Raw genomic sequence first — 26,907 nt, 5'->3', positions numbered from 1 at the left:
AAAAAAAAAAAAAAAAAAAAAGAAAAAAGAAAAAAAGACTTGAAAGCAGGGACTAGAAGGGAAGATATGTGTACACCTGTGTTCATAGCAGCATAGTTCACAATTAGCCATAAGGTAGAAGCAACCAAGTACCCATCGAGGGACATGAATGAGTAAACGCAATGTGGTATGTACAGTCATCTACAGTCGTCCCTCGGTATCTGTGGGCAGTGGTTCCAGGACCCCTGCTGGATCCCAAAATCCATGGTTGCTTAAGCCCCTCATAAGATGGTGTAGAATTGCCGGGCGTGGTGGCTCACACCTGTAATCCCAGCACTTTGGGAGCCTGAGGTGGGTGGATCACGTAAGGTCAGGAGTTCGAGACCAGCCTGGCCAACATGGTGAAACCGTTTCTACTAAAAATACAAAAATTAGCCGGGTGTGGTGGTGGGTGCCTGTAATCCCAGCTACTCAGGAGGCTGAGGCAGGAGAATCACTTGAATCCAGGAGGTGGAGGTTGCGGTGAGCCGCGATCACACCATTGTACTCCCAGCCTGGGTGACAAGAGCAAAACCTCCGTCTCAAAAAAAAAAAAAGATGTAGAATTTACATATAACCTATGCACATCCTCCCATATACTTATAAATCATCTCTAGATTACAAGTACAGATTTAGATAATACCTAATACGATGTACATGATATAGAAATAGTTATTATGCTGTATTCTTTAATGAATAATGACCCTGAAAAAGTCTATGTTCAGAACAGACAAAACTATCTATTTTTTCCCCCTAATATTTTCAGTCAGCGGTTGGTTGAATCCATGAATGTGGAACCTGCAGATGCGGAGGGCCAACTATCTTTTTTTTTTTTTTTGAGATGGAGTCTCATTCTGTCACCTAGGCTGGAGTGCAATGGCACAATGTGGGCTCATCGCAACCTCCGCCTTCCAGGTTCAAGCGAGTCTCCTGCCTCAGCCTCCAGAGCAGCTGGGATTACAGGCACCCACCACCATGCCTGAAAAATGTTTTCTATTTTTAGTAGAGACAGGGTTTCACCATTGGCAGGCTGGTCTCGAACTCCTGACCTCAAGTTATCCACCTGCTTTGACCTCCCGAAGTGCTGGGATTACAGACGTGAGCCACCGCATCTGACCCTAACTATCGTTTTAAAGGCACACTTGTCCCCCTCCCTGTTTCCTCCTAAAACAGCGAGCCGGCATCCCTGCCTCCTCCTAGGCGTTCTTATTTGGTGTAGGATGGTGATAAAGCCACCCCATTCCTTTCCTTACACAGAATCCCTCCCCTTTTGGGGTCGGCATTTTCTTGGACAATCAAATGTTCTTGGAGCTGCTGACTGCCTCAGGGATCTTTTTTTACAAGAAATAGTGGTGATCATGATTGGGCTACAACAGCTGCTGGGGTGGTCCTGATCCCTGGGGCCAGGACTGGGAGGACTGAGAAATGTGGCCAAGGCATCAAGGCTCAGGGGTCGCACCCTCAGCCATTCTTGAGACCCTCTCACCAGCAGCACAAGGCGATGCTGCCTCTCAGGCCCAGGGCGGCTGCCCAGGAATCAGCTTTCTGTGGCCGCTTTTCTTCCTTTTCCAGGAGGCCTTTGTTGTTAACCCTTTGGTGCATCAGGAAGTTGATCATTCCATTCCGTAGAGACGGAAGCAAACAAGGAAAGGAAAAAAATAACTCTGATGCTGAAACAATGTTGATGAAAGCTTAATTGAGAAGTTTCTTGGAGAGACTCCACCGAACAGAATCGGTTGAGCAGAAAATTGAAACAGACACAAACACTGTCTGTTTTGGATCGGACTGGTTTTTATTCTGGAGATAAAGTGCAGCAAGGATTGTGAATAAATATGAGGGCTGGGGGACACAGCGCTGTCAAGTTAACCGTTCTGTGCAAACGCAAAGCTGGCGGACAGGGGCCTCCTTGTTTGAGGACAACGGCCCCGACTGAGGCTCTGGGCTGACAGGAAACGCACCTATAGTCCCAGCTACTTGGGAGGCTGAAGCAGGAAAATTGCTTAAACCTGGGAAGTGGAGGTTGCAGTGAACCGAGATCGCACCACTGCACTCCAGCCTGGGCAACAGACTGAGATTCTGGCTCAAAAAAAAAAAAAAGTACATTCAGGCTGGGCACAGCGGCTAACGCCTGTAATGCCAGCACTTTGGGAGGCCAAGGCAGCAGGATAACTTGAGCCAAAGGAGTTGGAGACCAGCCTGGGCAATATAGTGAGACCCTGCCTCTACAAAAAAGGAAAAAAAATAACTGGATATGGTGGCATGTGTCTGTAGTCCCAGCTACTCAAGAGGCTAAGGTAGGAGGATTGCTTGAGCCCAGGAGTTTAGAGCTACAGTGAGCTATGATTGTGCTACTGTACTCCAACCTGGACAACACAGTAAGACCCTAAAAAGAAAAGGAGGGGGACATTTATGTAAGAATGCTTTCCCCCCAACATGAATATTTTGTAAAGTTAGCTTGTTTGATTGAAATACAAAATCAAATGGTAAAAAGCCAGTCAAATTTAGCAGTGGGGGGTTGTATACCAACTTTAGTGACACTAATGTTAATAAGTTCTGATAACCCACTACCATCGGACCAGCCAGAAAAACTGCTTTCACTTTCATTTTATAAATCTCTGAAGTGGCTACTCTAAATAAGTTAGGATGAGTTATTTTAAGAATTCTCCAAAAAGTCTGATATTATATGACCCCTACAAAATAATACTGCAAAAAGCCATACATTATCTGATTATCTTCCTTTAATTTTAAATAGCTTAATGCAAACTGATATTCAAAATAAATGTAGTTGCATGATGGGAAATAGACGTAAATTACCAAATGGAAGCCTCTTGTCCTTTGCAAATACCTGAAGACATTCATGAATCAAAGAAAAGTAAATGAACATATTTGTGTCAAATGCCCAGCAATAGAAACGTTGAACATTTAATGTCAACAAAATGAGCTTTGGTGTTTTTTTTTTTGTCGTCTCCCTGCCTGTGATCTGCAAAATGCCTTCCTGAATCAAGGCAGCAGCAGATGGCAGCAGTGCCCAGAGCATGCACTTTCCATCCACTTTCCCACGGAGCCTGGACCAGAGAACTCCTCACCCACGAACACACTGTTTTCACATCACCCACAAACACGCTGTATTCACATCACCCACGAACACGCTGTGTTCACACTGGTTGTTTCCTGGGACTTTTCCTGATAATCCTTAATAGTTCCTATAAATCACATGGGTACGCCAGGTTTAATATGCTCAGATCTCTCACCTTTCAGACAGGTTGCTGCTGGCATTGAGAAGTTGCCATAATCCTGAAAACAGCCTTTTACCAATGGTTTTATCAATGAAAGCCAAATCCCTCTCAATGATTAGATATAAGCACTCTCACTGAGTTTAGTAAGAAATCCCACATTAACCAGAAAAAAAAGGAATGAAAAGGATTAGAAAGTGATCAATAAACCTTAACTATTATTATCTTTGCCTATCAAATCTCAATTTTCCTGTTTTAAGTCATTCATATTTTAACATACCAAATGTTAAAGTATTAGGTTGGTGCAAAAGTAATTGTGGTTTTTGCCATTAGTTTTAATAATAATTGGAAGGTTTCAACTGACAGAAGAAAATGTATGTTCAAGATTATGATTAACTTGAATGCTTAGGAAATGTCACTTTCTTTCTTTCTTTTCTTTCTTTTTTTTTTTTTTGAGATGGAGTCTTGCCCTGTTGCCCAGGCTGGAGTGCAGTGGCCTGATCTCGGCTCACTGCAACCTCCTCCTAGGTTCAAGCCATTCTCCTGCCTCAGTCTCTCAAATAGCTGGGACTACAGGCACATGTCACCATGCCCGTCTAATTTTTGTATTTTTAGTAGAGACGGGGTTTCACTGTGTTTTCCAGGCTGATCTCGAACTCCTGACCTCAAATGATCCACTCTCCTCGGCCTCTCAAAGTGCTGGGATTACAGGCATGAGCCACCGCGCCTGGCTGGAAATGTTACTTTCTAAGGCATAACATTCCCCACCTTCATATGTATTGAGCTCAGCTAATCCCAGGAATTTTTTTAAAGTAATTGGAATGAGAATTATAATTGTTCTGGGACCTGGGCTTAGAGATGTGAAGGGCTGAGGCTTCCGGAGAGAGAGTGAAGAATACAGAAAAGACACAGTCCCTACCCTCAACTTGGTGATTGCTCCAGCAGTGATTAGGACAACTTTCCAAAGTAGACTAGCTGAGATTTCCTGGAGGGCTGGCCAGCTGCTCTGCCTCCCGGGTTCACGCCATTCTCCTGCCTCAGCCTCTGGAGTAGCTGGGACTACAGGCATCTGCCACCACGCCTGGCTAATTTTTTGTTTTTAGTAGAGACGGGTTTTCACCGTGTTAGCCAGGATGGTCTCAATCTCCTGACCTCATGATCTGCCCACCTCGGCCTCCCAAAGTGCTGGGATTACAGGCGTGAGCCACTGCGCCCAGCCACATCTCTTGTTAAAACATAAATAATCAACTTCTGTTTAACATGGTAGGCTGCCCACCAGCAATTGCCTCAATTCCTTTTGGAACCATTAAAATTAGACTGAAATAATAAAAAAGGAGCAGAGAAGAGAAAGAAGACACACTTGCATTCCTTCCTCTGCCCTGGAATGAGGTTTGGGGGTGTGGGGCTGGAGAGCCATCCTGAGACCACGAGAACAAAAGCCCTCACTTAGGAAGGCCTAAGAGAAAGAAAAAAAAGTCTTGGTGCATTGATGACAGGTGGGGCACTGCTCCAGTTCTGGACACGGCCCACCTCCATACTTTCTGCAACAAGAGGACACTAAATCTGCATGAGTTTAAGCCACTGTTACTGGGTTTCCTATGACACACAGCTCAACAGATTCCGAGCCATTAGAGAGAGTATAGAAAGTGTGAGATATGGACGGCTGGATCACTGGTGGGGTATGAGGAATTTTAGCTAGCACTGGATGTAAAGTTAGTAAAGTTCTTCAAGGAAGAACAATCTTAGTTTGACGATAATATGTCTTTAACACCTCCCATTTGTTAAGCTGCTTTTTTTTTTTTTTTTTTTTTTGAGACGGAGTCTTGCTCTTGCTCTGTCTCCCAGGCTGGAGTACAGTGGCATGATCTTGGCTCACTGCAACCTCCGCCTCCCAGGTTCAAGCAATTCTCATGCCTCAGGCTCCCAAGTAGCTGGGATTACAGGTGGGCACCACCACGCCCAGCTAATTTTTGTAATTTTTAGTAGAGACAGGGTTTCACCATATTGTCCAGGCTGGTCTCAAACTCCTGACCTCAGGTGATCTGCCCACCTCAGCCTCCCAAAGTGCTGGGATTACAGGCATGAGCCACCGTGCCTGGCCAAAAAAGTTGATTGTGGTTTCATGTGCATATACATTTGCCAAAAGTCATTGAACTGAATAATTAAAACGGGTACATTTTATTGTATACAAATTAAACTTCAATATGGATAAGAAGAAATAAATCTCTACTCAGGGGTGAAGAAAAAAAGAAATGAAAAAGAAGTAACTAATTAAAACAAGTTTATTTAAAGGAAATATTGTGTGAATAACTATTAAAGTCATCCTTGGATTTCACTAAGCATCTCAAATGGCCGAGGTGGAGAACTGAGTTCAGTGAGGGGTTGAACAGACACTGAGCTCAAGGTCCTAGAGGCGCATCCAGGAGAGGCCTTGGGGCTGGAGCTGGGTGCTGCTGAGAACCTGAGGGCAGACAGAAAGGAAGTGAATGCAAAGACCCCACAGTCTTGCTTTGGTCTACCTGGAAAAATCATCATTTTTTTAAGGAATTTGGGCCATTTGGCCATAGGGGTCATAGGTAAATACTTTCCATAAGTTAACTTGTACTTTTCTTCAAAACATGCTGGAAAACATTTCATGGCTTCCTGCTGCCTTCAAAGGATGTTAAAGTTCCTTGTTTCTCCGGCTCCTGTCTTCCACAGGCTCAGCTGTGCAGCCTGCCTCCACCCAGGCCTCTGTCATGACCCTCTGCCCTCCAGCCGGACCCCAGAACTGTCTGTAGTTCCCCAGTGAGTTACTCTCTTTGGCCCAGAGGCCTCTGTCCATGCTGCTGTCTCTCCCATCCATACCGATTATAACTAGAGCCCCTGTTGGCAAGGAAGGGGAGGGAAATGATTATTTTAGGGGAACCTGTCTGTGGACACAACAGGTCCACAAAATGCACAAAAGCTTTTTCAGTCAGCTCTGCTAAGCAGCTCTCTGACATGATATCTCCCTTTACAAACCTCTGTGCATGGGATATAAACATGTTTCCTCTAAAAAGCATAAGGAGGCCAGGCACAGTGGCTCACACTTACAATCCCAGCACTTTGGGAGGCCGAGGTAGGAGGATCACTTGAGCCCAGGAGTTCCAGACCAGCCTGGTACACGCCTGTAGTCCCAGATATTCATGCCCATCATGCCTGGCTAATTTTTGTATTTTTAGTAGAGACGGTATTTCACCATGTTGCCCAGGCTGGTCTTGAACTCCTGACCTCAGGTGATCCACCTGCCTTGGCCTCCCAAAGTGTTGGGATTATAGGCATAAGCCACCATGCCCAGCCCTCTTGGGTTTTTATGGAAGCCTCCTGATGTCAGCATGCCTTCCCTCAGTCTGGAATGAGAGAGTCTCATGACCCACAGTCATAAAGCTGAGGGAACGGGAGGGAGCAAAGAAAAAAAGTACCAGAAAAAAAACAGGAAAGGTGAGGGAAGATTGGAGTCCTGCCTTGGGGCAGGCGAAAGGAGGGCAGAAGGCCAGAGAAATTCTGTTTTCTGAGGCCTGCCCTTGAGGCCTGACGCTCCAGAAAGTGATAACGAAAGGCGGTCACAGGGCTCTGGGAGGTACTACCGGGTCGCACAGGGGATACAGCTGCACGGGGCTTAGGGATCATGGGCAGGCCCATCCCTGGCCCTCAGATCTCTGACTGAAACCAGGACAACAGGGGAAAAGAGTCACCTGTGTCCACCTGAGTAACCCAGGAGGGGACTGAGGCTCCAGGTGAACCAAGGAAGGCAGCGTTTTTTGTTTGTTTGTTTTTTGAGGTGGAGTCTCACTCTGTCGCCCAGGCTGGAGTGCAGTGGTGCAATCTCGGCTCACTGCAGCCTCTGCCTCCCAGGTTTAAGCGATTCTCCTGCCTCAGCCTCCCAAGTAGCTGGGATTACAGGCGCCCACCACCATGCCTGGCTAATTCTTGCATTTTTAGTAGACTCAGGGTTTCACCATGTTGGCCAGGCTGGTCTTCAACTCCTGACCTCAAGTGCCTGCCCTCTTCAGCCTCCCAAAGTGCTGGGAGTACAGGCGTCAGCCACTGTGCCCGGCTTTTTTTTTCTTTTGAGACTGAGTCTCTCTCTATGCCCCAGGCTGGAGTGCAGTGGTGTGATCTTGGCTCACTGCAACCTCCGCCTCCCAGGTTCAAGCGATTCTCCTACCTAAGCCTCCCAAGCAGCTGGGACTACAGGCACCCAGAAGGCAGCGGTTTTGTTCATCAAGGTTGTGGTTCTAAACGATGCATCTTTAAGCCGCCTAGGCCCACGACCTTCCCTCTTGACTTCACACCACATCTTTCTACAGCCTCAGCCAAACCCTATCCGGGTTCCCTAAAGATCTCTGAGCTTTCATCTCTCCCAAGAAGAGGCCCCAGGGCACACGCCAGCATGAGGTTCCCAAAAGCTGTCTATCAGATGTATCTCGTAGCATAGAGACTATAGGGGCCTCGCCCTTTGACATTTTTCTCTCAAAACCAGTAGTTTTAAAAATATTTTTAAAATCATTAAACTCACAGCCATAAAAAAAAAAACAAGATCATGTCTTTTGCAGGAACACGGATGGAGCTGGAGTCTATTATCCTTAGCAAACTCACACAGGAACAGAAAACCAAATACCGCATACTCTCACTTATAATTGGGAGCTAAATGATGAGAACTCATGAACACAAAGAAGGGAACAGCAGACACTGGGATCTGCTTGAGGGTGGAGGGGGAGGCAGGAGGAGCAGAAAAGACAACTGTTAGGTACTGGGCTTAATACCTGGGTGATGAAATAATCCGTACCACAAGCCCCTGTGACATGAGTTCATCTGTGTAACAAACCTTCACATGTACCCCCGAATCTAAAATAAAAGTTTAAAACAACAACAAAATAAATCATCACAAACTTAAAAACATCATTAAACTCTTTGGGATTCTGATGAAAGTTTTGTGTCTATGTGTACAAAATCATACACATTCACATATGTACAGACATCTTGTGTGTGGTTTTAGGGTGTGGTTCATGGACCACCTCCCCCAAACCTGACCGTAAACCCCAGATAAAGAAAATCTGGTGTACCAGCCTGGGCAACATATTAAGACCCCATCTCTATACAAAATTTAAAAATTAGCCTGGCCTGGTGTGTGCCTGGGGTCCCAGCTACTCCAGACACTGACGTGGGAGAATCACCTGAGCCCAGGGAGGTCGAGGCTGCAGTGAGCTATGATTGCACCTCTACACTCCAGCCTGGGTGACAGAGCAAGATCTGTCTCACACACACACACACACACACACAAACACACATGATTAAAAAAAAATCTGGTGTGGCTAACTGCAAAATACCATAAGTTTGTTGTCTTCTTTCATCCTTTTCTCTCTCTCTCCTTTTTTTTTTTTTTTTTTTTTTGAGACAGAGCCTCCCTCTTTTGCCCAGGCTGGAATGCAGGGGTGCAATCTCAGCTCACTGCAACCTCCACCACCCAGATTCGAGCAATTCTGCTGTCTCAGCCTCCCGAGTAGCTGGGATTACAGGCACTTGCCAGAACACCCTGCTAATTTTTTTGTATTTTTAGTAGACGGGGTTTCACCATGTTGATCAGGCTGGGCTCAAACTCCTGACCTCAAATGATCTGCCTACCTCGGCCTTCCAAAGTGCTGGGATTACAGGCGTGAGCTACTGGGCCCGGCCCTTTTATCCTTTTCTGTACCCCTTGGGAAGCAGTGCTCCTGCCTCCAAAATTACCCCTCACCCCAGTCATTGAAATCCATAGTCTCCCAGATTAAATAGCCAACAATAGGAGATGTATGAATTATATTTTTACCTAGCTATTTGAGAGATAGAAAGTTATATAGATTTAAAATTAAGGACTAAGAGTAGCACAATGGGGGAGGCCGAGGCGGGCGGATCACCTGAGGTCAGGAGTTCGAGACCAGCTTGACCAGTATGGTGAAACCTCGTCTCTACTAAAAATACAAAAATTAGCCAGGCGTGTTGGCACACACCTGTAGTCCCAGCTACTCAGGAGGTTGAGACAGGAGAATTGCTTGAACCCGGGTGGCAGAGGTTGCAGTGAGCCAAGATCTCACCATTGCATTCCAGCCTGGATGACAGAGCGAAACTCCATCTCAAAAAAAAGAGTAGCATAACAGAAAATTCATAAAATAGCCTAATGGAAAAAGTTCAGTGAGAAAACAAAAACAAAACAAGACCATACTGTGCTTGAAACTGTGGGAAAACTACACGGGAATAAGAGCAAAGAAAACTGAAAATCGGGCTGGGCACAGTGGCTCACGCCTGTAATCCCAGCACTTTGGGAGGCCAAGGCGGGTGGCTCTGTGCTCCCCGCCTGCCGCCTTCTTCACCTGGGCCCCTGCGGCTGCCTAGGGCTGTTTCCATAGCTGCATGGCAGGTTCCAGGGGGAGCCTCTGGGAAGGGAACCCCACGTGCTCATCTTCCTGGAGAAGGGGGTGGTGTAAGCCCACAGATTCATCTGTGAATGAAACCCCATCTCTACTAAAAATACAAAAATTAGCCTGGCGTGGTGATAGGCGCCTGTAATCCTAGCTACTCGGGAGGCTGAGGCAGGAGAATCGCTTGAACTCAGGAGGTGGAGGTTGCAATGAGCTGAGATCGTGCCGCTGCACTCCAGCCTGGGTGACAAGAGCGAGACTCCGTCTCAAACAAACAAACAAACAAAAAACAAACACCCGGCGCGGTGGCTCATGCCTGTAATCCCAGCACTTTGGGAGGCCGAGGCGGGCGGATCATGAGGTCAGGAGATCGAGACCAAGGTGAAACCCCCTCTCTACTAAAAATACAAAAAAATTAGCTGGGCGTGGTGGCGGGCGCCTGTATTCCCAGCTACTCGGGAGGCTGAGGCAGGAGACTGGCATGAACTCGGGAGGCGGAGCTTGCAGTGAGCCGAGGTCGCGCCACTGCACTCCAACCTGGGCAACAGAGCAAGACTCCATCTCAAAACAACAACAACAACAACAACAAAGAAACCCCTGAAAATCAGAAGTTTGATGTTTAGGATAGTGTCTGCTTTCTCTTTGTGTATATATCCTCCAATACCAGATTGTGTTGTGGTGCGATTTGTGTCAGAAAACTCAATTTCCTCATTGCAGCCAACTCAGCCAATTAGAATAAAAGCAGCAGAGTGGACACCTTCCCATAGAGCGTAAATAACGTTGTGTAAACACCTACGTCTGATTGGAATAAAATTTCCAAACCGTAAAGGAACCTGAAGAGAGACTTCGTTTAAGCACGCAGAGCATCTCAGGCCTCTCCTGCAAAGCTGAACCCGGGTGGTTCTTAACATGGCTTTCCAGCTGGAAAAGGGGGAAAATTGACTTAAACACTCTCCCAATGTTCCTTCCAAGTTAATGAACCCTCCTCTTGGCACAGCTTGGCTTTTGAAGATGGCACTTGTTATTCACAGACAAGGATGCTAAGGCAGTTGGACACCGGGGCCATCAGCCTGGGACGTGGCACCAGAAGGGCAGCCTTGTGCCCAAGGTGGGTGATGGGACGCGGCCGCGTCCCACAGCTGGGAAGGGCCTGGCAGAATCTGTGGGCTTACACCACCCCCTTCTCCAGGAAGATGAGCACGTGGGGTTCCCTTCCCAGAGGCTCCCCCTGGAACCTGCCATGCAGCTATGGAAACAGCCCCAGGCAGCCGCAGGGGCCCAGGTGAAGAAGGCGGCAGGCGGGGAGCACAGAACCATAAACCACATGGGAACAGGCGGCCTTTCTGTCTGGTCTTTGGATCAGGCCCTGAGGGAGGGGATAGGCTGTGCCCACCGCTCCCCACAGCCCTGTGGCATTCTGCAAGGTGGCCACTCCAAACCCTGCAACAAGAAGGCTTTGTGTGTTTTGGTTTTGGCAGGTTGACCCGGCAGGGACTTCTTTCTTTTTAAAAATCTTTTTTCTTTCTCTTCTGTACTTGTCTCTTTCTTTCTGCTCAGACCTGCTGCTTCATGCCTGACGCACCAGCTCCTCTGGTCTGGCTCCCAGCTTGCAGGCAGCAGCCGCGGTGAGGGCCACAGGCAGGGAAGGGCCTGGGCCTGGCTTCCAGGGGCTGGTTTTGGTCGCTAAGCTGCAACTGCTCACTGTGCATGAGCCAGTTCTCCTCTTTGGGTCTCATTTTCCTCCTCTGTAGAACAGGAATAAGAGTCTCACATAGGCCCAAGTGAGCCTGGAGAGGGAACACACACGGGGCCCAGCAGGTTATAAGTCGATGCCCATCGCGGTGCCCACTATTCCAACTCTTGGCTTGGCTACAACATGTATTTCTCTTTCTCTGTTACTCTTCAAAGCTTGCTGTAAAAGCACCTTGTTTGAAGGCTGTCAGTGAGTTTGTTCTCGGTCTCTGTCTCTCTCTATATATATACATATTTTATATATATATATAATTATTATTATTTTGAGATGGAGTCTCACTATGTTCCCCAGGCTGGCCTTGAACTCCTGGGCTCCAATGATCCTCTCGCCTTGGCCTCCAAAAGTGTTGGAATTAGAGGCGGGAGCCACGGTGCCCAGCCAGTGAGTACCACATTATTAAGAGTCTTCACTTGAAGTTTTATTGCCTTTTTTTCTTTATGTAAAAACTGAGTTCCAAGAGCAATCCTTTATTGCTCTCTCAGGACATTCACGGGGTAGGTGAAGAGCAAGGCCTCAGGGCTGCAAGTGGAAGCATGAGAGTAGGTCCTAATCTCAGGCAAGAGAGGTAAGGAAGTCAGGTGCGCAGAGCCTGGTGCAGTGGAGCAGAGTTGGTAGATGAGATGCCCCGATTGGCCAGGGCTGGGGAAACTGACTTGAGAATACATTTGAGAATTCAGCAGCAGGCAGAGGTCTAAGGCCACCCTGCCTGGTACCTTGGGCTCTTGAATTGGGTACAAGGTCCTTATCTTTTCCTAAAATCCTCACAAGCAGAGTCAAATGATATTATTTAAAAACATTTTGTTTATACCAGAATAATTTACAATATAGAAAATATCATGCCTATGAAATAAAGAGCAAACAATAATAATAATCATTGTAATAGATAGCATTAATTTTAGCTACCACTGATCTGGGACTGTACCAAGTACAGTCGTTCATCCTCCTAATGATTCTATGAGGTAGTACTATTATTACATCTATTTTAATAATGAGAAAACCAAGCCTCAAAAGAGTGACTTGGGCATGATCATGGTGCTAATAAGTGGTAGACATGGAATCTGATGAGCTGTGGCTTGCTCAGCTCCAGCTGCTGTAACAAATAATCATTGACTGGGTGGCTTAGACAACAAACATTTATTTCTCACAGTTCTGAAGGCTGGCAAGTCCAAGTTCAAGGCACTGACTGATTTGGATCCTGGTGAGGACTTTATTCCTGGTTTGCAGACAGCCACCTCCTTACTGTGTCCTCACACGGCAGAGAGATCATCTCTTTGTGCCTGTTCATAAAAGGGCACGATCATCATTATGTGAGGGTCCACCCTCATGACCTAATCATCTCCCAAGGACCTCATCTCCAAATGCCATCACACTGGGCGTTAGGGTTTCAACATACACATTTGGGGAGGACACAAACATTCGGTCCATAGGAAGGTGGCAGCAGGCTTTTGGTTTCAGTATGTCAATCTTCCCTTGGCACTTAGGATTTTTCTCCTGTATCTACACATGTGGCATTTGGACCGACACCTGCAGTTAAGTCATTGAATCCTGACAGCATTTATGAAATGTATTTCTCATTTAGTCAAGAATATCCATGGGGTCGGGGGAAGTGGGGGATGGTTAATGGGTACAAAAATGTAGTTAGATAGAATGAGTAATATCTAGTATTTGATAGCACAGCAGGGTGACTACAGTCAACAATATAATTTATTGTACATTGAAAATAACTAAAAGTATAATTGGCTCGTTTGTAGCATAAAGGATAAATGCTTGAGGTGGTGGATACCCTGTTTACCCTGATGTAATTTTTATGCAGTGTATGCCTGCATCGAGGTATCTCGGCTGGGCACAGTGGCTCATGCCTGTAATCCCAGCATTTTGGGAGGCCGAGGTGGACGGATCATCTGAGGTCAGGAGTTCGAGACCAGCCTGGTCAACATGGCAAAACCCCGTCTCTACTAAATACGCAAAAAATTAGCCGGGCATGGTGGCGGGTGCCTATAATCCCAGCAACTCGGGAGGCTGAGGCAGGAGAATCACTTGAACCCAACCAAAAGGCAGAGATTGCAGTAAGCTGAGATCACATCATTGTACTATGTATCCCATAAATATATACACAGAGTATACAGTATGTACCCACAAAAATTAAAAATTAAAAAAAGGAATCTCCATTGTATCTTCCTGCTGTGCTCAGGAAGCTGCGGCATTGTGGCCTCACCCCTGCCTAGATTGTTCTGTTTCTTACTCTCCTGGAGGAGGGAAATAGCTATGACACATTGCTCCAAGGAAAGAAATGCTAAAGCAGGTAATGTTGCCAGATCAGCTCTCTACCGCTTGATGAAGTGACTATTTGTGGCCTTACAGAGACCATTGCTCCCTGCTATACGAGTCTCTCTATCCTCCTCACCTCCTCCAGTCTTCTGCTAACCAACCTGCCAGGGATGAGCACATCCTGCAGAGCCTGAGACCAGCATAAGCCAGTGACATGGATTTCCTATCAGCAACTGACACCCCAAAGTTGCATATGTTCTTTTCTTAGAAACATATTCTTGGCTGGGCATGGTAGCTCACAGCTATAACTCCAGCACTTTGGGAGGCTGAGGAGGGCGTAGTCCCAGCTACTCGGGAGGTTGAGGGAGGAGAATCACTTGAACCCGGGAGGTGGAGGCTGCAATGAGCTGAGATCGTGCCACTGCACTCCAGCCTGGGTGACAGAGCAACTCCATCTCAAAAAAAAAAAAAAAGATAATGTATGTATTATAGGCCAGGCACAGTGGCTCACATCTGTAATCCCAGCACTTTCGGAGGCTGAGATGGAAGAATCTCTTGAGGCTAGGAGTTCAAGACCAGGCTGGGCAACATAGAGAGACCCCCATCTCTTAAAAAAAAAAACAAAAAACAAAAAAACAAAAAACTGATAATATATGTATTATATACAATAAAATGTTACATTAAAAAGATATTTTAGGCCAGTGCAGTGGCTCACACCTGTAGTCCCAACACTTTGCGAGGCCGAGGTGGCTGGATCACGAGGTCAGGAGTTTGAGACCAGCCTGGCCAACATAGTGAAACTCCATCTTTACTAAAAAAATACAAAAATTAGCTGGGCGTGGTGGAGGGTGCCAGTAATCACAGCTGCTTGGGAGGCTGAGGCAGGAGAATTGATTGAGCCCAGGAGGCGGAGGTTGCAGTGAGCCAAGATTGCACCATTGCACTCCAGCCTGGGCGAGAGAGCAAGACTCCGTCTCAAAAAAAAAAAAAAGATATTTTAAAATTCCTTAAATCGATTTATTATCTCAATTTTATCCAACCTTCTGTATGTTGTTTTGAAGAAAACAATTTTTTTCAATGTGATTTTACAGCATACTTTGGTGTTACTTTGTGGTTCTTTAGAGAGAAACACAGTGGCAGGAAAATCGCATTATTTACTAGGCTACTTGAGGACAGAGGCTGTTTCTCTTGTTTTCCTTGCTAGTGCGCTTTGCCAATAGCGGCGGCCAGTAAATATTTGTTGACAATCTTCTTGTGAAAGTGACTGGTGTTTTGCTTCCATGTAAAGGAATAGAAAGGGGATGAGAACCCAAGTGTTAGGACATGGATACCTGGAACCCTTTTTGAATTCAGATTCTTAGGGCTTAAAACATCTGCATTTGAGTCAAACAAGTCCCTGAGTGCAATTATTTATATTAAGTAACACACAAATATATAGATACAAAATCAAATAACCATTTTTTAATCATAGTGTTCAGTAAGTAGTTTGAAAACTCATCAAAATGGTCAAGGTCACTACCAATCCTCAATCCTGCTGAGTTTCATCAGTATTCCTAGTAGTTTGGAATCTTTTGAAGGTTGGATACAGCAACTCAGAGATAAAGAGATCGAGCCTCTTCTGGTGTTCACATGATTCCTGAAGTCAACCTAGATCTTGCATATAGTTGATAACATGGGTCCTTGTTTTTATTTTTTTATTTTATTTTAATTTTTTATGGTTTTGTTTTGACTTGAGACAGACTCTTGCTCTGTTGCCGAGTGGAGGGCACTGGCATTGTGTCCGGAATTGGTGGGTTCTTGGTCTCACTGACATCAAGAATGAAGCTGCGGACCCTCGCGGTGAGTGTTACAGCTCTTAAGGTGGCGCCTCTGGAGTTAGTCCCTTCTGATGTTCAGATGTGTTTGGAGTTTCTTCCTTCTGGTGGGTTCGTGGTCTCACTGGCTCAGGAGTGAAGCTGCAGACCTTCACGGTGAATGTTACTGCTTTTAAGGCAGCGTGTCTGGAGTTGTTCATTTCTCCCGGTTGGCTTGTGGTCTCGCTGGACTCAGGAGTGAAGTTGCAGATCTTCGCGGTGAGTGTTACAGCTCATAAAAGCAGCGTGGACCCAAAGGGCGAGCAGTAGCAAGATTTATTGCAAAGAGTGAAAGAACAAAGCTTCCACAGCGTGGAAGGGGACCCGAGCAGGTTGCCACTGCTGGCTGGGCAGCCTGCTTTTATTCTCTTATCTGGCCCCACCCACATCCTGCTGATTGGTAGAGCCGAGTGGCCTGTTTTGTCAGGGTGCTGATTGGTGCATTTACAATCCCTGAGCTAGATACAAAGGTTTTCCACGTCCCCATCAGATTAGTTAGATACAGAGTTTCCACACACAGGTTCTCCAAGGCCCCACCAGAGCAGCTAGATACAGAGTGTCGATTGGTGCATTTACAAACCTTGAGCTAAACACAGGGTGCTGATTGGTGTGTTTCCAAACCTTGAGCTAGATACAGAGTGCCGATTGGTGTATTTACAATCCCTGAGCTAGACATAAAGGTTCTCCATGTCCTCACCAGAGCAGCTAGATACAGAGTGTCGATTGGTGCACTCACAAACCTTGAGCTAAACACAGGGTGCTGATTGGTGTATTTACAATCCCTGAGCTAGATATAAAGACTCTCCACGTCCCCACCAGACTCAGGAGCCCAGCTGGCTTCACCTAGTGGATCCCGCACCGGGGCTGCAGGTGGAGCTGCCCGCCAGTCCTGCGCCGTGCGCTCGCATTCCTCAGCCCTTGGGTGGTCGATGGGACTGGGTGCCGTGGAGCAGGGGGTGGTGCTCGTTGGGGAGGCTGGGGCCGCACAGGAGCCCATGGAGTGGGTGGGAGGCTCAGGCATGGCGGGCTGCAGGTCCCGAGCCCTGCCCTGCGGGAAGGCAGCTAAGGCCCAGCGAGAAATCGAGCACAGCGCCGGTGGGCCGGCACTGCTGGGGGACTCAGTACACCCTCCGCAGTCACTGGCCCGGGTGCTAAGTCCCCCATTGCCTGGGGCCAGCAGGGCTGGCTGGCTGCTCCGAGTGCGGGGCCCACCAAGCCCACGCCCACCCGGAACTCCAGCTGGCCCGCAAGCGCCGCACGCAGCCCCGGTTCCCGCTCGTGCCTCTCCCTCCACACCTCCCTGCAAGCTGAGGGAGTGGGCTCTGGCCTTGGCCAGCCCAGAAAGGGGCTCCCACAGTGCAGTGGGGGGCTGAAGGGCTCATCAAATGCCACCAAAGTGGGAGCCCAGGCAAGGGAGGTGCCGAGAGCGAGCGAGGGCTCTGAGGACTGCCAGCATGCTGTCACCTCTCAGCATGATCTCGGCTCACTGCAACCTCCGCCTCCTGATTTCAAGCGATGCTCCTGCCTCAGCCTCCCGAGTAGCTGGGATTACAGATGTGCACCACCACACCCGGCTAATTTTTTGTATTTTTAGTAGAGACGGGGTTTCACCATGTTGGTCAGGCTGGTCTTGAACTCCTGACCTCAAGTGGTCCACCCACCTTGGCCTCCCAAAGTGCTGGCATTACAGGCGTGAGCTACCACACCCAGCTTAATTTTTATGTTTTGTTGTTGTTGTTGTTGTTGTTTGAGATGGAGTCTAGCTAGCTCTGTCACCCAGGCTGGAGTGCAGTGGTGCAATCTCGGTTCACTGTAACCTCCGTCTCCTGGGTGCAAGCAATTCTCCTGCCTTAGCCTCCCTAGTAGCTGGGACTACAGTTGCCTGCCACCATACCCAGCTAATTTTTGTATTTTTAGTAAAGACAGGGTTTCATCATGTTGGCCAGGCTGGTCTTGAACTCCTGACCTCAAGTGATCCTCTCACCTCCGCCTCCCAAAGTGCTAGGATTACAGGGGTGAGCCACCACCCCAGCCTGGGTTCTTGTTTTTAAAACAAGCAACTCCTATGTAGAAGGCATTGAGGCTAATGAAACGAATACAATTGCATACCCACTACTAAAGAAGTTATTATCTATTTGGGGATATAAGACACATTTGCAAATTATTAGGAAACAGCAAAGGATATGCTAAATGGCAACACACAAAAAAGGAATAAACAAGACTCTTTCGTGGTTTCCAGAACAGAGAGCAGACCCAAGGGAGGGGGTCCAGTCCCATGAAACTGTGGAACAGCAAGGATCTGTCTATTGGTTAGAGCCAGAAGGGATAGACTCAGCTGGACACCCTTACAAGCAGCAGAAGAAAGTCAAACGAGGTTTAGCAGTCAAGGAACCCTCTAAAGTAACTCAGTAGTTCTCTTGAGGTCTCTGGCAGGGTAACAAAGGCAGTGGCTTCCATAAGGGCCAGCCTTCAAATCTGGCATGGGCTCTGATCGAATTGCCCTTGGGCATAGCAGCAGCAGGGGTTAGCTGAAGGAGTGGAAAGTTCTAGTCGAAGTCTGATATATTACTAACTAAAAAAAAAAAAAAAAAAAAAAAAAAAAAAGTCAGGCTTTACATGAACAGCAAATTCTTAATTTGCTCCTTCGAGCTTGTGCCTTTCCTAGATCTGGCCAAAGATGGTTGCTCTGATTAATTTTACCTTCTCTTACAGGAGAATGTATGAACAAACAATATCAATTTCATGTTTCACACACTTTCCTAACCCATCTATTTGAAATATTATCTGAATAGAGGTGAAATTTTATTACAATGAATATTAAGGAACTGTTTTTGTCTAGAACTTATTATTGTATGAGATATATAACTAGAAAACAAAGTGAACAAACACAGAAGCAAGTTAGTTTTGTAGTAAAGTGCAAAGTCCCAGAAGCCAGACTGCCTGGATTAGATTCCTACTGTGCCACGTACTTGCTGTGTGCCCGTGGGCCACTCCTCTACCTCAGTTTCCTCAGCTGTAAAACAGGCATAATGGCACCTACCACATAGAGTTATCATCAGTAGGAAGTGTTATATTTTTGTTAGATACTAAATAAATAAACACAGCACAACTCATTCATTGAGGAATTGGTGCATTCAATATCCAAAGTAAATACTCTATTATCCATTTCAAAATAATCGCTTGGAAAAATTACTCCAAGGATACAGCCATTGATCAAAATGTATTCAAAATCTTGGGATACAAAGCTAACCAGGCGGCCTGCGCTGTAGTCCCAACTACTCTGAAGGTTGAGGTGGGAGGATCACTTGAACCCAGAAGTTCGAGGCTGCAGTGAGCCGAGATCGCATCACTGCACTCCAGCCTGGGTGACAAAATGAGACCCTGTCTCAAAACAAAGCAAAATAAAAACTTGGAGCCCAAGGCAGGAGGATCAATTGAGGCCAGAATTTTGAGATCCCAATATATATACATATTTTTTTGAGACGGAGTCTCACTCTGTCACCCAGGGTGGAGTGCAATGGTGTGATCTCAACTCACTGCCACCTCCACCTCCTCGGTTCGAGCAATTCTCCTGCCTCAGTCTCCTGAGTAGCTGGGATTACAAGTGCGCGCCACCACGTCAAGCTAATTTTTGTATTTTTAGTAGAGGAGGGGTTTCACATATTGTCCAGGCTGGTCTCGAACTCCTGACCTCATGATCCGCCCACCTTGGCCTCCCAACATGTTGGGATTACAGGCGTAAGCCACTGTGCCCAGCCACAAAAATATTTTTATTTTCTTTTTTTCCCCAGATACTTCAGAGATGGATACGAAAAATTTTTGTTTGTTTTTTGAGACAAGGTCTCGCTCTGTTGCCCAGGCTGGAGTGCAGTGGCACGATCTCGGCTCATGGCAACCTCCGCCTCCCAGGTTCAAGTGATTCTTCTGCCTCAGCCTCTCGAGTAGCTGGGACTACAGATGCGCACCACCACGCCCTGCTAATTTTTGTATTTTTAATAGAGATGAGGTTTCACCATATTGGCCAGGCTGGTCTCAAACTCCTGACCTCGTGATGTGCCCTCCTCGGCCTCTTTCCAAAGTGCTGGGGTTTACAGGCTTGAGCCACCGTGCCTGGCCTCGAAAATATTTTTTAAAAATTATCCAGGCATGGTGGCACGTGCCTGTAGTCCCAGTGACTTGGAAGGCTGAGGTGGGAGGATCATTTGAGCCCAGGGGTTCGAGGCTGCAGTGAGCCATGAGTGCATGCCACTGCACTCCAGGCTGGGTGACAGAGTGAGATTGCAACTCAAAGGTAAATAAAATAAAATAATAAATAAAACCAAATGAGTTTGTCTTCAGAAGCCGTGGAATATTCTTTTTGGTATCTCTGGGGCAGCAAATTTTCCTCTTTTGAAGATAGATTTGCTTTTTAAAACGGTCCAGAGTCCATCAAAGTCAAGGACGTTGAATATGATAACGCAATGGGAAGCACTGTCTTGGCAAAAATGAAGTGATGTAAAATAACACGACCCATTTTCTTGCATGGGTCACACTTCAACTTTGAAGGAGACTTTCAAAACAGAAGGGTTCCAAATATGCTTCAGCAATGGCAGCACTTCTTGGTAAAGTGCATGTATTAGTTATTGATGGCTGCATAACAAACAAACCCAACACTTAACAACTAACATTGATTTCCTCACACTAGCTGTGGGTCAGGAATCTGGCCACAGTTAGCTGGGTGCTCAGGCTCAGGGTCTCCCACAGGCTTGAAATGAAGGTGTGGTCCACGGTTGTGGTCATCTCAAGGCTCAGTTGGGGAGAGATTGGCCGCAAGCCCTCTCACAGTGCTCAGGGCCTCCCTGGCTGTTGGCTGCATATATAGCTCTTTGCCTCTGTAGGGCTGTTCAGTACGTGACAGCTGGCTTTCCCCGGCAAAGGAGAGAGGCACTTTACTTTTGTCTTATTCTATTCCTTAGAAATGAGTCAGTAAGTTCAGATTACACTCAGGAAGAGGGAATTACACAAGGGCACAAAAAAATTAGTGCCAGGAGGCAGGATCCTTGCAGAGTTCCCTGAAATGCAAGGGATGATAGCATTCATTTCAACAAGATATCTTTCTCTCTCTCTCTCTCTCTATGGTTGTTTTTACGTTTTTCATGTTCTGTAAGGATGCTACTTTTTTCCTTATATTATATACACAATATATAATATATATCATATCATATACACAATATATAATATACCATATCATATATACTATATAATATATATCATATCATATACACAATATATAATATATATCATATCATATACACTATATGTAATATATCATATCATATACACTATATAATATCTATCATATACATTATATATAATATCTATCATATACATTATATATAATATCTATCATATACATTATATATAATCTATCATATACATTATATAATCTATCATACATTATACATATCTATCATATACATTATACATAATATCTATCGTATACATTATACATAATATCTATCATATACATTATACATAATATCTATCATATACATTATACATATCTATCATATACATTATACATAATATCTATTATATACATTATACATAATATCTATATTATACTATATACATAATATATGTTATATACATATGTTATATACATAGTATATGTTATGTTATATACATAATATATGTTATATTATATACATAATATATACATAATATATGTTATATTATATACATAATATATACATAATATATGTTATATTATATACATAATATATACATAATATATGTTATATTATATACATAATATATACATAATATATGTTATATTATATACATAATATATACATAATATATGTTATATTATATACATAATATATACATAATATATGTTATATTATATACATAATATATACATAATATATGTTATATTATATACATAATATATACATAATATATGTTATATTATATACATAATATATACATAATATATGTTATATTATATACATAATATATACATAATATATGTTATATTATATACATAATATATACATAATATATGTTATATACATAATATATACATAATATATGTTATATTATATACATAATATATACATAATATATGTTATATTATATACATAATATATACATAATATATGTTATATACATAATATATACATAATATATGTTATATTATATACATAATATATACATAATATATGTTATATTTACATAATATATACATAATATATGTTATATTATATACATAATATATACATAATATATGTTATATTATATACATAATATATACATAATATATGTTATATTATATACATAATATATACATAATATATGTTATATTATATACATAATATATACATAATATATGTTATATTATATACATAATATATACATAATATATGTTATATTATATACATAATATATACATAATATATGTTATATTATATACATAATATATACATAATATATGTTATATTATATACATAATATATACATAATATATGTTATATTATATACATAATATATACATAATATATGATATATTATATACATAATATATACATAATATATGATATATTATATATTTTTGAGATGGAGTCTTATTCTGTCGCCCAGGTTGGAGTGCAGTGGCACAATCTTGGCTCACTGCAACCTGCGCCTCCCAGGTTCAAGCAATTCTCCTGCCTCAGCCTCCCAAGTAGCTGGGATTGCAGGTGACTGTCACCACTCCCGGGTAATTTTTGTATTTTTAGTAGAGACGGGGTTTCGCTATGTTGGCCGGGCTGGTCTAGAACTCCTGACCTCATGATCCGCCCACCTTGGCCTTCCAAAGTGCTGGGATTACAGGCTTGAGCCACCGCACCCGGCCGAATTTTTGTATTTTTAGTAGATACCAGGGTTTTACCACGTTGGCCAGGCTGGTCTCAAACTTCTGACCTCAAGTGATCCGCCCACCTCAGCATCCCAAAGTGCTGGGATTACAGGTATGAGCCACCGCACTCAGTGATATATATTTTTTCATAAAAAATTATTTCACTCTAAAACCTGATCTTACTCATTGTCACTCTTGGGTTTGAGTCATAGGTTGAAATTATATATACAAAAGCTAAGTTCTGGTCCATTTCCTTCACGGTGGACCTCATTTCTAATTATTTGTCACCTGAAGTGGATATTGAAGTGCCTATCACATTTAGCACATTGAACAAGATTCTGGGCCGGGCGCGGTGGCTCACGCCTGTAATCCCAGCACTTTGGGAGGCCGAGGCGGGTGGATCATGAGGTCAGGAGATCGAGACCATCCTGGCTAACAAGGTGAAACCCCGTCTCTACTAAAAATACAAAAAATTAGCCGGGTGCGGTGGTGGGCGCCTGTAGTCCCAGCTACTCGGGAGGCTGAGGCAGGAGAATGGCGTGAACCCGGGAAGCGGAGCTTGCAGTGAGCCGAGATTGCGCCACTGCAGTCCGCAGTCCGGCCTGGGCGACAGAGCGAGACTCCGTCTCAAAAAAAAAAAAAAAAAAAAGAGATTCTGGTATTCTAACTTTGTAGACTACCAGCCATTCTAGAATTTGGGGGCTTTGTATGTCAAGGCTTTTACATTCAGGACTCAGGTATTAATAGTTTAAGAAGGCTGACAGACACAAAGTGCCCGTTTTCAGCAAGCTCTCAGCAGCTTGTGAATGCTCCTCAGGCCCTTATTAACAAATGATGCCCTTTTCTTCTGTCGAGATTTAGTAATGATAGGGCCCTTTTGCCAATTTTTTCAAGGGCATTTTTTTGGAGCAAATTTACAATAGAGGGTGCATATTTTTCAATAGTGCAGCCAAGTTTATTTGCTAATGAAGAAAGCCAGTGTGTTGGACTTTTTTGATTGAATCTGAGTGTCAACTCTAAGCAACTGCTGGCTGACAACTGCAGACGGAAAGGCTGGATGAATGCCAGCGAGGAAGCCTTGCCAGGGAGGTGAAACCGATGAACACCTCCATTCTTAGCTGGTTATAAATTGGATATTGATCCGAATCTGTGAACCTATATATTCTTAAATTTTTTTTTCTTATAGCTTTCAGATTGTAAAACCTATATATTTTATATGTGAAACAAACGAACAAACTTATGCAAAAAATGTACATTATCTGCTCACTCACACCTACACAATTATTGAATTTATAGCAACAAACTGTTTATAACTTTTTTATTTTTCATTTTTGAGACAGGGGTTTCGCCATGCTGCCCAAGCTGGTCTCAAACTCCTGAACTCAAGCGATCCCCTCCCACTCCCACCTCGCCCTCCCAAAGTACTGGGATTACAGGCGTGAGCCACCAGGAGGTGGAGGTTTCAGTGAGCCGAAACCGCGCCATTGCACTCCAGCCTGGCGACAAAGCAAGACTCTGTCTCGGGGTGGTGGGGGGGAAAGTATACATACATATATGTATGTGTGTGTATATGTGTATGTATGCGTGTATATATATATATATATTTTCACATATATAGAAAAGTAACCTTGATTATAAGGTTTATTAAAAACCGAATACAATATTTAATACATTCAAAGGTAATTAAAACAAAATTATTCCTTTCGTGTAAATTTTCTTCTCAGGCATTTTGAAGGTTAATACTTCAACGCTGCTGGGAAGTTAATCTTACTAAAAGAAGCTTATAACCAATAGGCTTCCTTGAAAGTTTTTCAAATCAACTAAAAGCTACTCTTTCGTTCAAACCGTCAACTAAAGGTTACTTTTATATGCGTTTTTATTGATTTATGTAAACGTTGTCTACTACTGTTATTAGTGCAAAACAGCAAGCTAGTCAAGCGCGGTTGTGGGGGGAGACAATGTTAAATCAACTTAACAATAACCCACAACACTCGGACCAACTGTGTTATCCTGTGAGTCTCTTGTTATTTATAGTGCCTACTTAGGGTCTTTTCTAGGTAAGGAGACTTTTCAGAGCCTATGCCATGATCGTAAAAATAAAATGTGTAAAACTTTTTGATTAAACACAATGAAAACAAAACCAAATGCTCTCTCTTAAGAGAGTTTGTAAGAATTATGTTAATCAACCAAGGTTTTTCTGCATTTCACTTTTACAAATGCATTGTGGGTAGCGCCTAGCTAAATATGAAAGTAAACCCGGCGCGTGGTTCGCAGCCACGCGGGCTCCGGGCAATTGCGCTTTAGTCTGGGTGGACAGCTTCGCCGGAGCTGAGAGCCCGCGACCTGCCGGACCAGGGCTGGGCCGCGGGTCAATGATCCAGGAAATCCCGTCACTCGCGTGCCTGTGGCTGAAGCGCGGCAGCTTGTCTTGTCCGTTTCGTGTCAGTTTCAGGGCTGAGTGGCAGCGTCTGGACTTTGCGGACGCCGAGGGCTCAGATGCTGGGCTCTGGGGAGGGAGAGGGCGCCGGCCGGCCTGTCCCTCTCCGGGGATTTGCAGGTACCACCTGTCGGCTTTGTTTCATCATCAGGAGCCCCTTTGCCCAGAAATCCCGATCGTCTACACCCAGGTCTCTACTGATCAGAGATTGAGAGTGAGTCAACAGGAGTCCAACACGTGACCCCCATAAGTCTACCCTCTTTTCCCCCAATACTTGTAGATACCACCCAGTAACACCCGTGTGTGCTAAAAATCCTATTCTGGGAGTTCTTCGGCAGTTTAAATCGCCCATGAATTACTCATATTTTCTCAATCCACCGTGAGCCTGGCACATTTCTTTTCAGTAATTGATTGGGAAAGTGCAAGCCATTGGTGACCTTTAGAAGTTTTAAATGTTTATAACGAAAGGGCTAAGGACAGAGGAGATTACCCACACTTAAGTATTTTGCACCTTAAAAATGCTAGCAAAAATATGAATTTATATTCCTTCAGGGAGAAGATTTCGTCTGAGGACGTAGGCCGAACCTTGTGTTTTATATGTCATATGAATTACGCTCTGAAACTAAAATATGAAATAGATTCCATAATTAAGCCCTTTGGAATATCAGCCTCATCTGAATTATTTCTAAGGATATTTTTGCCTTTTTTGGTTTATTAAAAACTTCCTTTTGGGGAAACTTGTATAGATTTTCTGCACTTAGGCAAAATAAAGCATTTTATTCAAAATATTTCTTAGGGTTTTCCTAGAACTTACTCTTCTTTCTTCCTGTAAAGACAAACCTAGGAAATTGTTCAGAAAAAGGCCCAAGGTGATTTCCTCATAACCTATAGTGATTAGTGAGAAAAAGTTTGGATATTGGGGATTTCGGGGTTGATTTGATAATTTCAGGAAAATGAAGAAAACCTCAAATTTAAGATATTAAAATGTTTAAAAATTGTCCTAGAGAAAACGATGGTACTAAAAGCTTAAAAATTTCTAAAGATTAAGAGAGCTGACAGTGATTTAAAAAATACATTTAATCTAGGAAAAGCAGTAGATTAAGAAAGATATTAGGAATGTTGTCAAATGCTGTCTTTTAAAGGTGGATAATTGCTTTAGTGACACTTATACTTTTGGGATTTTTGTCTTATGATTAAGGTGGCAATTACATAATAGTCATCATTCTAGATTGTATAAATTATACTTTTTACATTATTTCATTATATTATATTACTGGTATCTTTTTCTTTAGAATTGATAGAATGCATCAGCTTTTAATCTCCCTTTGTAATAGTTATTTAACCTAAGGGAGATCAGAATATGCCATGCCAAAATGTGACACTTTGTCATCAGGATTATTTTGAGCTGAAGGTAATTGAGAATGAACATATAGAAAGAAACTTTCTCAGAGCTTCCCTTATCTGACTAAAAGCAGTGACTTCTGAGAAAGGAGGCTGCTATAAATTCCCCTTTTGGGTTAGGTCTACTCATAAATGCATTCATCAGGGAAGTTTTATGGCCCTGAAGGAGACCACCCATACCTGTCTAGACAGTCTCACAAACTTTCTTATCTCCTGTTTCTTCTCCTGAAAACTCCTATTTGTCTTTCCTCAGGAAACCCATTTTTTCCCCCATAATAGCCTTTCTCTCCCCTCTTTTTCCTCAACTAAGTTAGGTATATAAGCCCCAAATGCGAACCACCCCTTTGAGTTGCTCATCACTGAGCACTCCTGTGTGTATGTGTATTACACACATAAACTGCTTTTTTCCTTTTGTCAAAGGTACCTGTCTTTTGCAGCTTAATTTGCAAGCCCCTAGTTATTGAACATGAGAGTGTAGAGGAAAAGCATTTTCCCTTCCCTACAGGCCTAAAGGAAACTACATGAAATATTAAAACAAGTACTGATTAAAGGCCGGGCGCGGTGCCTCAAGCCTGTAATCCCAGCACTTTGGGAGGCCGAGGCGGGCGGATCACGAGGTCAGGAGATCGAGACCATCCTGGCTAA

The 26,907-nt window shown here is 44.0% G+C and overlaps 2 non-coding genes across 2 annotated transcripts, besides 3 other annotated features; both read right to left on the bottom strand.

The window, feature by feature from the left end:
- Positions 918-1,417: an enhancer, noted in NCBI's record as "H3K27ac hESC enhancer chr7:148661589-148662088 (GRCh37/hg19 assembly coordinates)". NCBI's record gives its function as "activates a minimal SCP1, AML or CMV promoter by ChIP-STARR-seq in naive H9 embryonic stem cells {active_cell/tissue: H9 hESC(naive)}" and the evidence as "EXISTENCE:reporter gene assay evidence [ECO:0000049][PMID:30033119]".
- Positions 1,418-1,919: an enhancer, noted in NCBI's record as "H3K27ac hESC enhancer chr7:148661087-148661588 (GRCh37/hg19 assembly coordinates)". NCBI's record gives its function as "activates a minimal SCP1, AML or CMV promoter by ChIP-STARR-seq in naive H9 embryonic stem cells {active_cell/tissue: H9 hESC(naive)}" and the evidence as "EXISTENCE:reporter gene assay evidence [ECO:0000049][PMID:30033119]".
- On the bottom strand, positions 2,504-2,599 carry RNY4 (RNA, Ro60-associated Y4). Its single transcript, NR_004393.1, has one exon.
- Positions 9,784-10,285: an enhancer, noted in NCBI's record as "H3K4me1 hESC enhancer chr7:148652721-148653222 (GRCh37/hg19 assembly coordinates)". NCBI's record gives its function as "activates a minimal SCP1, AML or CMV promoter by ChIP-STARR-seq in primed H9 embryonic stem cells {active_cell/tissue: H9 hESC(primed)}" and the evidence as "EXISTENCE:reporter gene assay evidence [ECO:0000049][PMID:30033119]".
- RNY5 (RNA, Ro60-associated Y5) lies at positions 24,343-24,426 on the bottom strand. The gene has a single exon (NR_001571.2).
- Positions 24,427-26,907: the final 2,481 nt, after the last annotated feature.

This window comes from Homo sapiens, chromosome 7 (assembly GCF_000001405.40).
Source record: "Homo sapiens chromosome 7, GRCh38.p14 Primary Assembly".
Lineage (NCBI taxonomy): Eukaryota > Metazoa > Chordata > Mammalia > Primates > Hominidae > Homo > Homo sapiens.
The sequence above is the reverse complement of the archived record's forward strand: the minus strand, read 5'-3'. Positions and strand labels throughout refer to the sequence as shown.